Source organism: Homo sapiens, chromosome 18 (assembly GCF_000001405.40).
Source record: "Homo sapiens chromosome 18, GRCh38.p14 Primary Assembly".
Taxonomy (NCBI): domain Eukaryota; kingdom Metazoa; phylum Chordata; class Mammalia; order Primates; family Hominidae; genus Homo; species Homo sapiens.
Window position 1 is genome coordinate 6,162,852 of NC_000018.10, and position 16,302 is coordinate 6,179,153.

Consider the following 16,302-nt stretch of genomic DNA (forward strand, 5'->3'; position numbering starts at 1 on the left):
GCCAGTGTTCAAGGTGCTGTGAGTAAATGTGAGGTGTAAATGAAAGGTTTTGAGAGGAAAATGGTGGACGATAGGTGAGTAATGCATTGACTGTGAAGGGCTTTGTGTGCATGCAAAGGAGTCTCAGGTTGATAGGATACTCCATGCCAAAGAAGAGTTTTAATAACGTGGAAAACGAGGTGAGTTTGGGGTTTTATATGGACTATTCCAGGAAAGAAGAGAGAAAAGACAATCATAACACCACTGCAACGGTCAATGACAGGCCCTCAAATGTTGTTTTGTTAGAGTGCCTGGAGCAACCATTTGTTTCTACTTCCCAGTGGAAAAAGAATTCAGTGATAAATAAAAAAATAAGTAACAGAATCGGTTTTGGAGTAGGGGTGTGTTTGTCTACGGGTGTGTGTGTGTGGGGGGGGGGTGGGTGTGTGTGTGTGTGTGTGTGTGTGTGTGTGTGTGGGTGGGTGTGTATTTTTGCTTTCACAATAGGGGCAGGGATGACATATATTGAACCACATCACAAGCATGTCTTAAAGTATAGGTATTTCAAAATCAATAAAACATAAATATTTATGGTGCAGATAAAGATAATTAAAACCATAAGATTAACCAAACAACCTATAATAAGCTATATTAATCTTGATTAATCTAAACAAACAAGTTTATAACAAAAAAGTCAAACAGCAAAAACTGAAAATCATAACCAACCAAAGACAGCCAATTACAAGTTGTCTTTCCCCCAAATTCTAGGGACTGTAATTACCTGTCTGTGAATACACAAAATACACATCTTGTAATACTGCCAACAACACATGGAACTCAAACTTCTTAAGAAAAAGTGAATTAGAGGGTGAAGCCAAGATGGCCAAATAGGAACAGCTCCAGTCTACAGCTCCCAGCATGAGTGACGCAGAAGACAGGAAATTTCTGCATTTCCAACTGAGGTACCGGGTTCATCACACTGGGGAACGCTGGACAGTGGGTGCAGGACAGTGGGTGCAGTGCACTGTGTGTGAGCTGAAGCAGGGCGAGGCATCAACTCACCCGGGAAGCACAAGGGGTCAGGGAATTCCCTTTCCTAGTCAAAGAAAAGGGTGACAGATGGCACCTGGAAAATCGGGTCACTCCCACACTAATACTGCACTTTTCCAACAGGCTTAACAAACGGCACACCAGGAGATTATATCCTGCACCTGGCTTGGAAGGTCCTATGCCCACGGAGCCTCGCTCATTGCTAGCACAGCAGTCTGAGATCAAACTGCAAGGCAGCAGTGAGGCTGGGGTAGGGGCGCCCACCATTGCAGAGGCTTGAGTAGGTAAACAAAGAGGCCAGGAAGCTGGAACTGGGTGGAGCCCACCACAGCTCAAGGAGGCCTGCCTGCCTCTGTAGGCTCCACCTCTGGGGGCAGGGCACAGACAAACAAAAGGCAGCAGTAACCTCTGCAGACTTAAACGTCCCTGTCTGACAGCTTTGAAGAGAGTAGTGGTTCTCCCAGCACGCAGCTTGAGATCTGAGAATGGGCAGACTGCATCCTCAAGTGGGTCCCTGACCCCCGAGTAGCCTAACTGGGAGGCACCCCCCGCTAGGGGCAGACTGACACCTCACACGGCTGGGTACTCCTCTAAGACAAAACTTCCAGAGGAACGATCAGGCAGCAGCATTTGCAGTTCACCAATGTACGCTGTTCTGCAGCCACCGCTGCTGATACCCAGGCAAACAGGGTCTGGAGTGGACCTCCAACAAACTCCAACAGACTTGCAGCTGAGGGTCCTGACCATTAGAAGGAAAACTAACAAAAAGAAAGGACATCCACACCAAAAACCCATCTGTACGTCACCATCATCAAAGACCAAAGGTAGATGAAACCACAAAGATGGGTAAAAAACAGAGCAGAAAAACCGGAAACCCTAAAAAATCAGAGTGCCTCTCCTCCTCCAAAGGAACGCAGCTCCTCACCAGCAACGGAACAAAGCTGGACAGAGAATGACTTTGACAAGTTGAGAGAAGAAGGCTTCAGAAGATCAAACTACTCTGAGCTAAAGGAAGAAGTTTGAACCAATGGCAAAGAAGTTAAAAACCTTGAAAAAAGATTAGACGAATGGCTAACTAGAATAATCAACGTGGAGAAGTCCTTAAAGGACCTGATGGAGCTGAAAACCATGGCACAAGAACTACGTGACGAATGCACAAGCCTCAGTAGCTGATGCGATCAACTGGAAGAAAGGGTATCAGCAATGGAAGGCAAAATGAATGACATGAACTAAGAAGAGAAGTTTAGAGAAAAAAGAATAAAAAGAAATGAACAAAGCCTCCAAGAAATATGGGACTATGTGAAAAGACCAAATCTACATCTGATTGGTGTACCTGAAAGTGACGGGGAGAATGGAACCAAGTTGGAAAACACTCTGCAGGATATTATCCAGGAGAACTTCCCCAATCTAGCAAGGCAGGCCAACATTCAAATTCAGGAAATACAGAGAATGCCACAAAGATACTCCTCGAGAAGAGCAATTCCAAGACACATAATTGTCAGATTCACCAAAGTTGAAATGAAGAAAAAAATGGTAAGGGCAGCCAGAGAGAAAGGTCGGGTTACCCACAAAGGGAAGCCCGTCAGACTAACAACTGATCTCTCGGCAGAAATTCTACAAGCCAGAAGAGAGTGGGGGCCAATATTCAACATTCTTAAAAAAAGAATTTTCAACCCAAAATTTCATATCCAGCCAAACTAAGCTTCATAACTGAAGGAGAAATAAAATACTTTACAGACAAGCAAACACTGAGAGATTTTGTCACCACCAGGCCTGCCCTAAAAGAGCTCCTGAAGGAAGCACTAAACATGGAAAGGAACGACTGGTACCAACCACTGCAAAAACATGCCAAATTGTAAAGACCATCAAGGCTAGGAAGAAACTGCATCAACTAATGAGCAAAATAACCAGCTAACATCATAATGACAGGATCAAATTCACATATAACAATATTAACCTTAAATGTAAATCGGCTAAATGCTCCAATTAAAAGACACAGACTGGCAAATTGGATAAACAGTCAAGACCCATCAGTGTGCTGTATTCAGGAAACCCATCTCACGTGCAGAGACACACATAGGCTCAAAATAAAGGGATGGAGGAAGATCTACCAAGCAAATGGAAAACAAAAAAAGGCAGGGGTTGCAATCCTAGTCTCAGATAAAACAGACTTCAAACCAACAAAGATCAAGAGACAAAGAAGGTCATTACATAATGGTAAAGGGATCAATTCAACAAGAAGAGCTAACTATCCTAAATATATATGCACCCAATACAGGAGCACCCAGATTCATAAAGCAAGTCCTTAGTGACCTACAAAGAGACTTAGACTCCCAAACAATAATAATGGGAGACTTTAACACCCCGCTGTCAACATTAGACAGATCAATGAGACAGAAAGTTAACAAGGATATCCAGGAATTGAACTCAGCTCTGCACCAAGCGGACCTAATAGACATCTACAGAACTCTCCACCCCAAACAACAGAATATACATTTTTTTCAGCACCACATCACACCTATTCCAAAATTGACCACATAGTTGGAAGTAAAGCACTCCTCAGCAAATGTAAAAGAACAGAAATTATAACAAACTGTCTCTCAGACCACAGTGCAATCAAACTAGAACTCAGAATTAAGAAACTCACTCAAAACTGCTCAACTACATGGAAACTGAACAACCTGCTCCTGAATGACTACTGGGTACATAACAAAATGAAGGCAGAGATAAAGATGTTCTTTGAAACCAACGAGAACAAAGACACAACATACCAGAATCTCTGGGACACATTCAAAGCAGTGTGTAGAGGGAAACTTATAGCACTAAATGCCCACAAGAGAAAGCAGGAAAGATCAAAAATTGACACCCTAACATAACAATTAAAAGAACTAGAGAAGCAAGAGCAAACACATTCAAAAGCTAGCAGAAGGAAAGAAATAACTAAGATCAGAGCAGAACACAAGGAAATAGACATAAAAAACCCTTCAAAAAATCAATGAATCCAGGAGCTGGATTTTTGAAAAGATCAACAAAATTGATAGACCGCTAGCAAGACTAATAAAGAAGAAAAGAGAGAAGAATCAAATAGACGCAATAAAAAATGACAAAGGGGATATCACCACCGATCCCACAGAAATACAAACTACCATCAGAAAATACTATAAATACCTCTACACAAATAAACTAGAAAATCTAGAAGAAATGGATAAATTCCTGTACACATACACCCTCCCAAGACTAAACCAGGAAGAAGTTGAATCTCTGAATAGATCAATAACAGGCTCTGAAATTGAGGCAATAATTAATAGCTTACCAACCAAAAAGAGTCCAGGACAAGATGGATTCACAGCTGAATTCTACCAGAGGTACAAGGAGGAGCTGGTAGCATTCTTCCTGAAACTATTCCAATCAATAGAAAAAGAGGGAATCCTCCCTAACTCATTTTATGAGGCCAGCATCATCCTGATACCAAAGCCTGGCAGAGACACGACAAAAAAATAGAATTTTAGACCAATATCCTTGATGAACATTCATGCAAAAATCCTCAATAGAATACTGGCAAAGTGAATCCAGCAGCACATCAAAAAGCTTATCCACCATGATCAAATGGGCTTCATCCCTGGGATGCAAGGCTGGTTCAACATACGCAAATCAATAAATGTAATCCAACATATAAACAGAACCAAAGACAAAAACCACATGATTATCTCAATAGAGACAGAAAAGGCATGTGACAAAATTCAACAACCCTTCATGCTAAAAGCTCTCAATAAATTAGGTATTGATGGGACATATCTCAAAATAATAAGAGCTATCTATGACAAACCCACAGCCAATATCATACTGAATGGACAAAAACTGGAAGCATTCCCTTTGAAAACTGGCACAAGACAGGGATGCCCTCTCTCACCACTCCTATTCAACATAGTATTGGAAGTTCTGGCCAGGGCAATCAGGCAGAAGAAGGAAATAAAGGGCATTCAATTAGGAAAACAGGAAGTCAAATTTCCTGTTTGCAGATGACATGATTGCATATCTAGAAAACCACATCATCTCAGCCCAAAATCTCCTTAAGCTGATAAGCAACTTCAGCAAAGTCTCAGGATACAAAATCAATGTGCAAAAATCACAAGCATTCTTATACACCAATAACAGACAAACAGAGAGCCAAATCATGAGTGAACTCCCATTCACAATTGCTTCAAAGAGAATAAAATAAATAGGAATCCAACTTACAAGGGATGTGAAGGACCTCTTCAAGGAGAACTACAAACCACTGCTCAATGAAATAAAAGAGGATACAAACAAATGGAAGAACATTCCATGCTCATGGGTAGGAAGAATCAATATCGTGAAAATGGCCATACTGCCCAAGGTAATTTACAGATTCAATGCCATCCCCATCAAGCTACCAATGACCTTCTTCACAAAATTGGAAAAAAGCTACTTTAAAGTTCATATGGAACCAAAAAAGAGCCCGCATTGCCAAGTCAATCCTAAGCCAAAAGAACAAAGCTGGAGGCATCACACTACCTGACTTCAAACTATACTACAAGGCTACAGTAACCAAAACAGCATGGTACTGGTACCAAAACAGAGATACAGACCAATGGAACAGAACAGAGCCCTCAGAAATAATGCTGCATATCTACAACTATCTGATCTTTGACAAACCTGAGAAAAAAAGCAATGGGGAAAGGATTCCCTATTTAATAAATGGTGCTGGGAAAACTGGCTAGCCATATGTAGAAAGCTGAAACTGGATCCCTTCCTTACACCTTATACAAAAATTAATTCAAGATGGATTAAAGACTTACATGTTAGACCTAAAACCATAAAAACCCTAGAAGAAAACCTAGGCATTACCATTCAGGACATAGGCATGGGCAAGGACTTCATGTCTAAAACACCAAAAGCAATGGCAACAGAAGCCAAAATTGACAAATGGGATCTAACTAAACTAAAGAGCTTTCTGCACAGCAAAAGAAACCACCATCAGAGTGAACAGGCAACCTACAGAATGGGAGAAAATTTTTGCAACCTACTCATCTGACAAAGGGCTAATATCCAGAATCTACAATGAACTCCAACAAATTTACAAGAAAAAAACAAACAACCCCATCAAAAAGTGGGCAAAGAATATGAACAGACACTTCTCAAAAGAAGACATTTATGCAGCCAAAAAACACATGAAAAACTGCTTATCGTCACTGGTCATCAGAGAAATGCAAATCAAAACCACAATGAGATACCATCTCACACCAGTTAGAATGGCGATCATTAAAAAGTCAGGAAAAAACAGGTGCTGGAGAGGATGTGGAGAAATGGGAACACTTTTACACTGTTGGTGGGACTGTAAACTAGTTCAACCATTGTGGAAGACAGGGTGGCAATTCCTCAGGGATCTGGAACTAGAAATACCATTTGACCCAGCCATCCCATTACTGGGTATATACTCAAAGAATTACAAAACATGCTGCTATAAAGACACATGCACATGTATGTTTATTGCGGCACTATTCACAATAGCAAAGACTTGGAACCAACCCAAATGTCCAACAATGATAGACTGCATTAAGAAAATGTGGCACATATACACCATGGAATACTATGCAGCCATATAAAACGATGAGTTCATGTCCTTTGTAGGAACATGGATGAAGCTGGAAACCATCATTCTCAGCCACCCATCACAAGGACAAAAAACCAAACACCGCATGTTCTCACTCATAGGTGGGAATTGAACAATGAGAACACATGGACACAGGAAGGGGAACATCACACACTGGGGACTGTTGTGGGGTGGGGGGAGGGGGAGGGATAGCATTAGGAGATATACCTAATGCTAAATGGCGAGTTAATGGGTGCAGCACACCAACATGGCACATGTACACATATGTAACAAACCTGCACGTTGTGCACATCTACCCTAAAACTTAAAGTATAATAATAATAATAATAATAAAAGAAAAATTTAATTAAAGTATTTGGAAAACCCTAATCACATTAATTTTAGCTCAATTTCAAATCTGGAACTCTTAGTAACTCCCACTTAATAACTTACATAAGAATGAAAATCTAGAGAATGTCACATTATTTCCTGAGAGAAGATTTAATTGAGCACATGCTACGGGGCAGGCAGTTTCTGAATTCTATCCATTCATTTATCTCATTTAATAATTATAAATTCATGCGATAGATATTAATATTATCTTTATTTTATAGATGAGGAAACTGAGGCATAGAGAGGCACACACTAAGCAAGCTTTAAACTGAGATTCAAAGCCCAGCATTCTGACTCCAGTTTTCTCATTTTTAACCACTAGTCTATACTGCTCTAGATTTTAGATTTATCCTAGGCTCATCAGGAGAACCTGTGCAACTCACTAGCAGACTACAGGCCACATTCTGAGAAGCATCCGTAACTATGATGACACCTCAAAATAATGCAATAGCATTGAGAAGATGCACTGGGGGTCAAAGCATTGGGGGTCAAAGATAGATTCTGTATAATTAAGAAAGAACCAGCAGGACACTTGGTGACTGTTTATATGTGTGGGTTGAGGAAGGGGTCAAGAGGGAGCAGAGTCTGGAATGGCAACTTAGGAAGCAAACGGTAGAAAGAGCAAGTTTTTGGCTTGGGATGGAGGTTTGGTTTGATGCATAGACTCTGGGATGCTTCTGAGACATTCAGGTAGAAAAGCCAGGTGGGTAGAGTGACAAAGGAGCAGACAATGCTTGGAGTGGAGTGAAGAGAGCTGTCCCTGTATCTGCAATGCTGGTCCACGCCTACCCCAGCGGAAATCGTTCGTACTTGAGAAAGTTACTGGCTGAGGCATGGATGTACAGGGGTGTATTGGGGGGGGTTCACATAAAGTGAGAACCATCTCCGTGACATGCTGGGGTGTGAAACCAGGGAGGATAAAAAGCGAGACCAGAGGAAACCACAAAGCACAAATGCTGGCGCCCTTCCCTACTTGGAGTCCCCCATATGGTGCTGACCATGGTCCTCTTCATTCTACACTCTTAGGGTACTGGTCCTATGTGTGCCAATACACTGTAGGCTCCAGAAGGGCCTTCATCTCTTTGATTTTGTAGTTTTTGAAGAACCTAGCACAATGTAGAACTGTTTGTCCAATTATTTAGTCAGGGATTCTTCTCATTTTTACAAGAAGTCCTTTGGGGTCTAAGGTTCAAGCATCATTAGGCTGGCTCCATGTAAGATATCCTCATTAATAGAAAAGCATTCTAGCTTCATGCTAAGAAACCAATGGGAGGGAAAGTGAAGCAGTGAGGGAACAAAACAAACATGAGAATGGAGAACACTTGCACTTGTGTCTGGAACTGGTTATTAGTCATGTCAGCCTAATCAGATCAGAGGACTCCTTCAGACAAAAAAATAAGGTATTTTGGGTTGAGGCTCATTAAAATTTAGAGAGGTTAATTTCCTCCTTAACTTTAAGTAGCTAGAAAGTCAGAAATAATAAAGATGCGAGTAAAGTAGAGGATTTTAAATTTTTTTATAAGTAAAATCTGAAAATTGTTGGAAGTTAAAATATTTTAATTTTCCAAAAGACTTTGTGTAGTCTATTCTATAAAATAAAGATCAGATGTTTAAAAAAATAAGATGAACTTGTTAAAACCAATGACCAAAATTAGATGGATTTAGATGTGCTAGCTCAGTTTTCCAAACTCAAATGTAGAAAATAAAGATTCCTTTGGAAAACACTATCAAAATAATTTTTTAAAGATTATCACTTTTCATTAACATAACGCATGCCCTTTGAGGCTTAATTGTAAATAATCGGCTTTCAGTGTAGCTGTAGTGATTAATTCGCCTATGTGATGTTTAGCTTTCAAATGCCTGTAATGGCATGAATAAGCAACATTACGGCTGGAAATCAGGCCAAGTATTTAAAAAGCAACAACAAAGAGCAAAGTACTCACGCTGTGGCACTTCCAGTGGATGCCCTGTGACATCACACCATCCGATCGGGTGGATATCAGGGCTGTCTGCCTCCACCCAGTAGTCATACTTATGGTCCCAACCATCAAAATGAACCTGTTAAAACGAGTTTTGAATGATTAGCATTTAGTAATTAGGATTTCACTATTCCTGTATCAAAATATTTGAATACAGATGTCTGAAGCTGAGATTGAAATTTTATTGATCACACCTTGCAGTTGAAATAATATTTAATATGTGCCATTCTATAGCCTTCTAATCCAGCCAACAAAGGCAATTGTACCAAATTTTCAAAGAAATTAAAGTGGTTGGTAAACGAAAACTTTGTCAGGGATTGACCAGAATCTGAAGAAGTAAGGCCAATCCATTTTCTCAACTAAGACACGTACTGGAATGCTGTTGAGGGGATACTCTTTGTCCTGAGCGACTGTCCTATTAACCACTTCAAGAACCATGTCAGCATCATCAACAGTAAGAGTCACCAACTTGACATTAGTACAAGTGCTATACTGATGGGAAATACACAGATTAGAGTATAAAGAAACAATCAATCCCTAAAACCTCACAAATGAGAGACGGGCCCATTGGAACCATGGAGGCAAAAACAGTAGACAAAATATGCTAGGGGGTAGGTAGATAGATTTTAATAGCTGCCATAAGAGCTATTTAAAGGCCAAGGGTAAGCTATTAAGAAATCTTCTGAAGAAGATCCAGCCATCCCCAGGTCCAGCCATCCTACTGGTATAGGCTCCAACAAGGCTAATTATTGCAAGGATAATTTATCTTGCATCTTATCTGCAAAACACACACACACATACCATGCACACATATAAGAATAATTAAATAAATCCCAATTTCTGAAACAAAAATCAAATAATTATTTCTTAAAAATAATTATTTCTTTTAAAAAATCTATATCCTTTCTAATGCAAAGAAGCCCACTTAAGTTTTTGAAAATCATATTTGAATAAAAAGAGCAAGATGCCTAGTGCTGTAATAAGCCAATCTGAAATATAAATCCATTATGCAGAACTTAAGACCAAAAAAGCAAAATTCTATATATTCAGTCCCAAATAAACTCCCAATATTTTTTCTCAAGAGTCGTCTTTCTAAGCAAGTGGTTTTCAAAGTGTGATTCTTAGACTATCAGCATCACCGACCTAGGCACTTGTTAAAAATGCAAATTCTTGGCTCCACCTCAACCCTACTGAATCAGAAACTCTAAAGGTAGAGCCTAACACTGTGTGTTAACAAGTGTTCTACATGAATCTGTTATATGCTAAAGTCTGAGAACCAGAGATTACAGTAATAACTTTCAAAAGTACATTTCTACTGAACTTAGGTTCCTGACCATGACAGAGTGCCCTTTCATAGTAATAACCATAAAACTGGACATATGCAGGGAATATTTTCGGACATCGGACAATAGGCAGCACAGAAATGCAATCCCTAAGTAAAGGAAAACATCCCAGATGAGCCCTTAACATCAGCCTGGAGACAATTTCCTGATTGCAGCACACAGAGAAGAAACATAAAGAAAGCAGTTATGCAGTCAGAGAGACAGAGATTGCAGATCAGAGTGCATGATGCAGCTGGAAGTTAAAAGACAAAGTATTGGAAAAGACAGAACTACAAAAAAGGGGGAACCAAAGGCAGGGTGCAGTAGCTCATGCCTGTCATCCCAGCACTTTGGGAGGCCAAGGAAGGAGGATCTCTTGAGCCCAGGAGTTCCAGACCAGCCTGGACAACATGGTGAAACCTCATCTCTACAAAAAATACAAAAACTAGCCAGGTGTGTGGTGTGCACCTGTGGTCCCAGCTACTCAGGAGGCTGAAATAGAAGAATCACCTCAGCCTGGGGAGGTTGAGGCTGCAGTGAACCATGATCATGCCACTGCACTGCAGCCTGGACGGCACAGCAAGACCCTGTCTCAATAAAGTGGGGGACCAAAAAGTCCATGGGAGGTTATTCACAAGACCTTGACCAAGGGCTGGACTGCCCATGTACCAGGTAAGACTTTCTGAAGCCAAGCAGAGAGTAGCTGATACGGGGCTGAGAATGAAACAAAGATACTAGAGGTCACAAGTTCCGGGGAGAGGGGAGAGACTAATGTGGAGAAACCTCAATTAACACTTTGACAATTTGACTGAGACACCACAAAGTTCACATTTTGGGGAAAGAAAGATGCTCTAGATTAATAATTACTCATGAACAACCCTAAAAAAGGGGTAAAATCAAGCCTTAGCCAGATGAAGAATTACCAGTAATGAACTCCCTGATAGAACGAACTCTACTCTTAAAAAAAAAAAAAAACTCCCACTATATGCTGTATCATTCATTACATATAACATACAAAAGTTTATTAAACATGTAAATAAGCAGATGATTGTGAGCCATACTCAATTTGTGAAGAAGTGGTCAACAGAAATAGAACCTAAGATAACCTAGATGTTGTAATTAGCAGAAAAGGATTGCAAAGTAGTTAGGAAAATATGTTCAAAAACTTAATTGAAATGGTCTAAATGAGTGAACAGAGAATTTCAGGAGAGAAATGGAAACTATAAAAGAGAAGCACATAGAAATTCTAGAAGTCAATAGCAAAATATCTTAAATATTGCTGGATGACAATATTATTGCTGGATGGCAATAATAGGAGATTGGAGATGGCAGAAAAACAGATGAGTGAATATAAAATATAAAAACAGATTCATAGAAGTTATTAACCTAAAGAACAGATGATGTTCCGGTGTGATGGCTCACACCTATAATCCCAGCACTTTGGGAGGCTAAGGCAGGCAGATCACTTAGAGCCAGGGGGTTAAGACTAGCCTGGCCAACACGGTGAAGCCCCATCTCTACTAAAATGCAAAAATCAGCTGGTGTGGTGATGCATGCCTGTATTCCCAGCTACTTGGGAGGCTGAAGCACAAGGATGGCTTGAACATGGGAAGCGGAGTTTGCAGTGAGCCGAAATTGCGGCACTGCACTCAGCCTGGGTGACAGAGCGAAACTCTGTCAAAAAAAAAAAAAAAAAAGATGATACAAGATTTAAATAATAAATAGAGCCTGATAATATCAACTCATCTAACATACGCATATTTGGATTCTAGAAGGAGAGGACACAGAGAGAATGGAGCAGGAATAGTGGTCAAACAAAACCAACGCAGAAAGGATAATGGTTAAAACAAAAAATCTCCCTAATTTGGCCAAAAATACCAATTTGCAAGCTTAAGAATGACAAAACCTGAGCATAATAAATACAAAGGAAATGAAAACTAGGCAAATCATAGACCACTGAAAATGAAAGCTAAAGGGAAACCCTGAAAGCAACCGGACACAATGCAACACATTGCAAAGAGCAGAGCCACGATGGGAAAGTGGGCCACCTTCTCACCAGAAACAGTGCAGGCAAGAAGATAATAAAATGACATCTTTAAAACGCTAACAGGAAACATAAAAAACTGTCAACACAGAATTTCAATTCCTACAAAAAATATCCTTCAAAAAAGACTAAAACAGAGAAATTTTCAGATAAACAAAAAAAAAGAATACGCACTTATAGATTTATACTGTAAGAAATATTACAGGGAGTATTTCAGGCTGATGCTAAGTGATGCCAGATGAAAACTACGATCTACATGAAGAGTACTAGCAACAGCAAATATGCGGGGAAATATGCAAGGCTAGTTCCGTGTTCTGTAATTGATTAATTCATTACACCACAGAAGAAGAAGAAAAGTAATGTGGTCATCTCAGTGGATACAGAAAAAGTATTTGACAAAGTTCAATACACAATGACAAATACTTCAGTAAACTAGAAATAGAAGGGAACTCCCTCAGTTTGATAAAAGGCATCTATGAAACACAGGTAATATCAGACTAAGTAATACTTTATTGAATGCTTCATCCCCAAAATCAAGAATAAGGCAAGTTTATTCATTCTTACTGTTTCTAGTCAACATTGTAATGTAGTGCAATTAGGCAAGAGAAAGAAATATTAATAAAAGGCATGAAACTTGCAAAATAAGTCAACATAAAACAATCAATTCTATTAATATATACTGGCAACAAAAAAATTTAAAAAATATTAATTTTTTAAAAATTTCCTTTAGAATAACATTAAAAATGAAGAACTTAGCAAAACATCTGAGAAAATAAGAAAATGTGAAAGCTAGAAAACATTCCTAAGAGAAATTAAAAGATGATCCCACACAAGTGAAGAGAACTATCATGCCCACAGGCTGGAAGACTCAATATTATTATTGATATGTCATCTCTTCCCAGATTGTTCCATAAATTCAATTTAATCCTACTCAAAAAGGTAGGCCTTTTGTTTTGTATCATTTGACAAGCAGATTCTAACATTATAAAGGAATGAAAAATGACCTAGCTTACCCAAAACAATTTTGTAAAAAAAATTAACAAAGTTGGAGAACTGATACTATCTGAATTTTAGAATTACTACAAAGGCACAGTTATTAGGACCATGTTGTACTGGCTTAGGATAGACAAATATATTAATAAAACAAAATACTGCATATAAATTGATCCATATATATGCAGTCAATTGATTTTCAAAAACATGACAAGAGTATTGAATGAAGAAAGTACAGTCTTTTCAACAAATGGCACCAGAATGCTTGAACATCAACATGTGAAAAAAAATGAGCCAGCTGACTTCTACCTCACATCACACATACACAAGTATTTGAAATGAAACATAAACAAAACATAAAAGCTAAAACTACAAAACCCAAGAAGAAAACTTTAAGATAAAGTCTTCATGATATTGGAATATTCAAGGATTTATTAGCACACAGAAGGCACTACCCATATAATAATAAATTAATAAATTCATTTTTTACCTGACTCAAAAACTTTTGTTTTTCAAAATCACCAAGAAAAATATGAAGTGAGCCACAGGCATTTGCAATACATTTATCTGACAAGAGACTTGACAAAAAATTCAATGTAAAAAATGAGCAAAAGACTCAATGAACATTTTGGAAAAAAAATTCATGAATGATCAATAAACAAACTTTTAACATCTCAATATCACTCTTCACCAGAGAAACCAAAATGAATTACTACCGCATACCCACTCGAGTGATTTAAATGACAGACAAAATTTCCCAACATCAGTTACTGCCGAGGCTGTGGAGCTCCTGAAGCATTCATACCAATGTCGGCAGGGGTGTAAAATTGCACAACCACTTTCAATAATGTTATACTACTTTTTAAAGAAGCTTAAACCGTGTGCCTACCCTGTGACTCCTAGTAATTCCAACAAAAGTGATGAAAATATAAAGTTGTGTAAACAAATGCCCCTTGCAGTTTTATTCATAATAGCCCAAACCTGAAAACAACCCAAATGCCCAACAGGTGAACATTCATTCACAAACAAGTGTGCAATGTCCATAAAACGAATGCTAGTTCAGCAATAAAAAGGGATAAACTGTTTACACATGCATGAACATGGGAACAACAGACTTCATGTTGAGCAATGAGGCAGACACAACAGTGCATGCTGCATGACCCCACTGATAGGAAATCTGACAACAGGCAATAGAAACCAGGTCCATGGTTGTCTGGGAGAAGGATGGGAGCAGGACTGGCTGAGAAGGAGCACAAAGGAAGCTTCTGTGTTGTTGGAAGTGTTCTACATCTCGACTGGGATGGTGGCTATGCAGGATATATTATACATTTTTCAACACTCATCAAAATGCGTGCATGAAATCTGTACATCTTATCATTTGCAAATTACATCTCAATATAGTTACTTTATTTAAAACATTTCTACATTCAGCTGCTGTCACATGTGGCTGCTCTGTCTCCTACTATCTTCTACTGATGGCGATGTTGCAGTGCTCAAGACATAGCCAGGCACCCTAGGACTGTCAGTACCAGGCCACTGAATATTCAAGGTGTGAACAGGCAACACTGGTGTTCCTTTTTGGAATGATGCCTCCTGCTCTGGAATTACCAATAGGAAGAAGTTTGTGTAAGTCCATATAATGGAGTGAAGAAGAAATAAATTTCCCAAGCTTCAACTAATTTCAATGCCCTTCCCCTTTTAAGTCTGGGGTGCAATTTTTTTATGTTTCAAAAGCAAGGAAGTTGTGTCAAAGCACAAACAGGACAGGACAAATACCCCAGCAAGGTCCTGCTTTGAGGAGTTAGGTCTTTCTATTTTAACTATTGTGGTGGACCTGGGAATCCGACTGCAGAATTAGGTCTCAACTGAAGAAGTGAAAAAAAAAATCTTTTTCAATTTTTTTTGACAGCAGGTACAATATTTTTACATACCCTATTCAACATTTTCCTCTTATGTTCATTAATAAATATTAAATTATCATTTCCAGGATTGTCTATAACTGCTTACAATGAAACCATGGAAATTAAAAATAGCCTCCCAATCCAATGATGTGATTCTCCCCTCCCCAACAAGGGCTGTCTAAACTCTGAATTTATAATCAAAATCTGTGCCTATGTAGAATACATCCTTATGAAAGATATTTTCATATCTTTGGATCATATCTTTGGATCTGTGGAATAAAAATCCGATTTAAAAAATTCTAACCAGATGGTCAAGTTAATAGAGGAGACTGGCATTTTAAGTCTATTTACCAAGAGTCCTTTTGTAAAGCAAAGCCTCATTTTGAAAACCAAATCATCTCAACATTATATTTCATACATTTATTATTTTTCACATATCTGGGTTTGCATAAAATAAACATGTAGACCCTTCTTGCTCAAGCTTTGATAAACTAGAAAACAAAGGTCAGATCACTGAATCAACCACTGTCTCAAGTTCTTATCCTTCAACAGACAGGAATGTGTCCTAATGGTATTAACGTTACACATTAGCTATTAAAGAGCGGTAAGAAATAACTTGGAAATTTAAAAGTTAGATCAGCATATTAAAAACAACAACAACAAGGAAAAACTCCTTGGCATAAATCCCACACTTCCAGCCGTCTGCACCAACACAGTCTCTGCTTTTCCTTATCTTTACTTCCCAATGCCCACAGTAGGACTTGCCCTGAGCCCCTTAAATGTACCCCAACGCCTCAGTCATGTTCGCTGCTCCCATGGCACTTAGCCCTGTGTCTCACAGATTTTAAAGGCTCAAAGCCCATTGTCTGAATAAGATGCAAGACAGTAATCACATCTTCTCATTGTTCTTTTGGGCAATTGGAAGACGAGGAAGTTATTATAATACCTAGGAACATTGGGGCTAAATTGAATGCTCAGTCACAATAATTTTATTAGCCTAAGTGACTATTACATTGTTTTATTTTGCTAT

At 38.9% G+C, this 16,302-nt stretch overlaps 1 protein-coding gene across 31 annotated transcripts in view; it reads right to left on the reverse strand.

Annotated features, from left to right (window-relative positions):
• L3MBTL4 (L3MBTL histone methyl-lysine binding protein 4) overlaps positions 1–16,302 on the reverse strand; it is a 460,543-nt gene that overhangs the window by 208,135 nt on the left and 236,106 nt on the right. For all 31 annotated transcript variants that reach the window (NR_158610.2, NR_158609.2, NR_158611.2 and 28 more), the window contains one exon: positions 8,977–9,091. Coding sequence is in view for 25 of the 31 variants with exons in the window: in NM_001365765.2 (NP_001352694.1) it covers positions 8,977–9,091 (115 nt within the window). In the remaining 6 variants the exon portion in view is untranslated. The remainder of the gene's footprint in view (positions 1–8,976; positions 9,092–16,302) is intronic.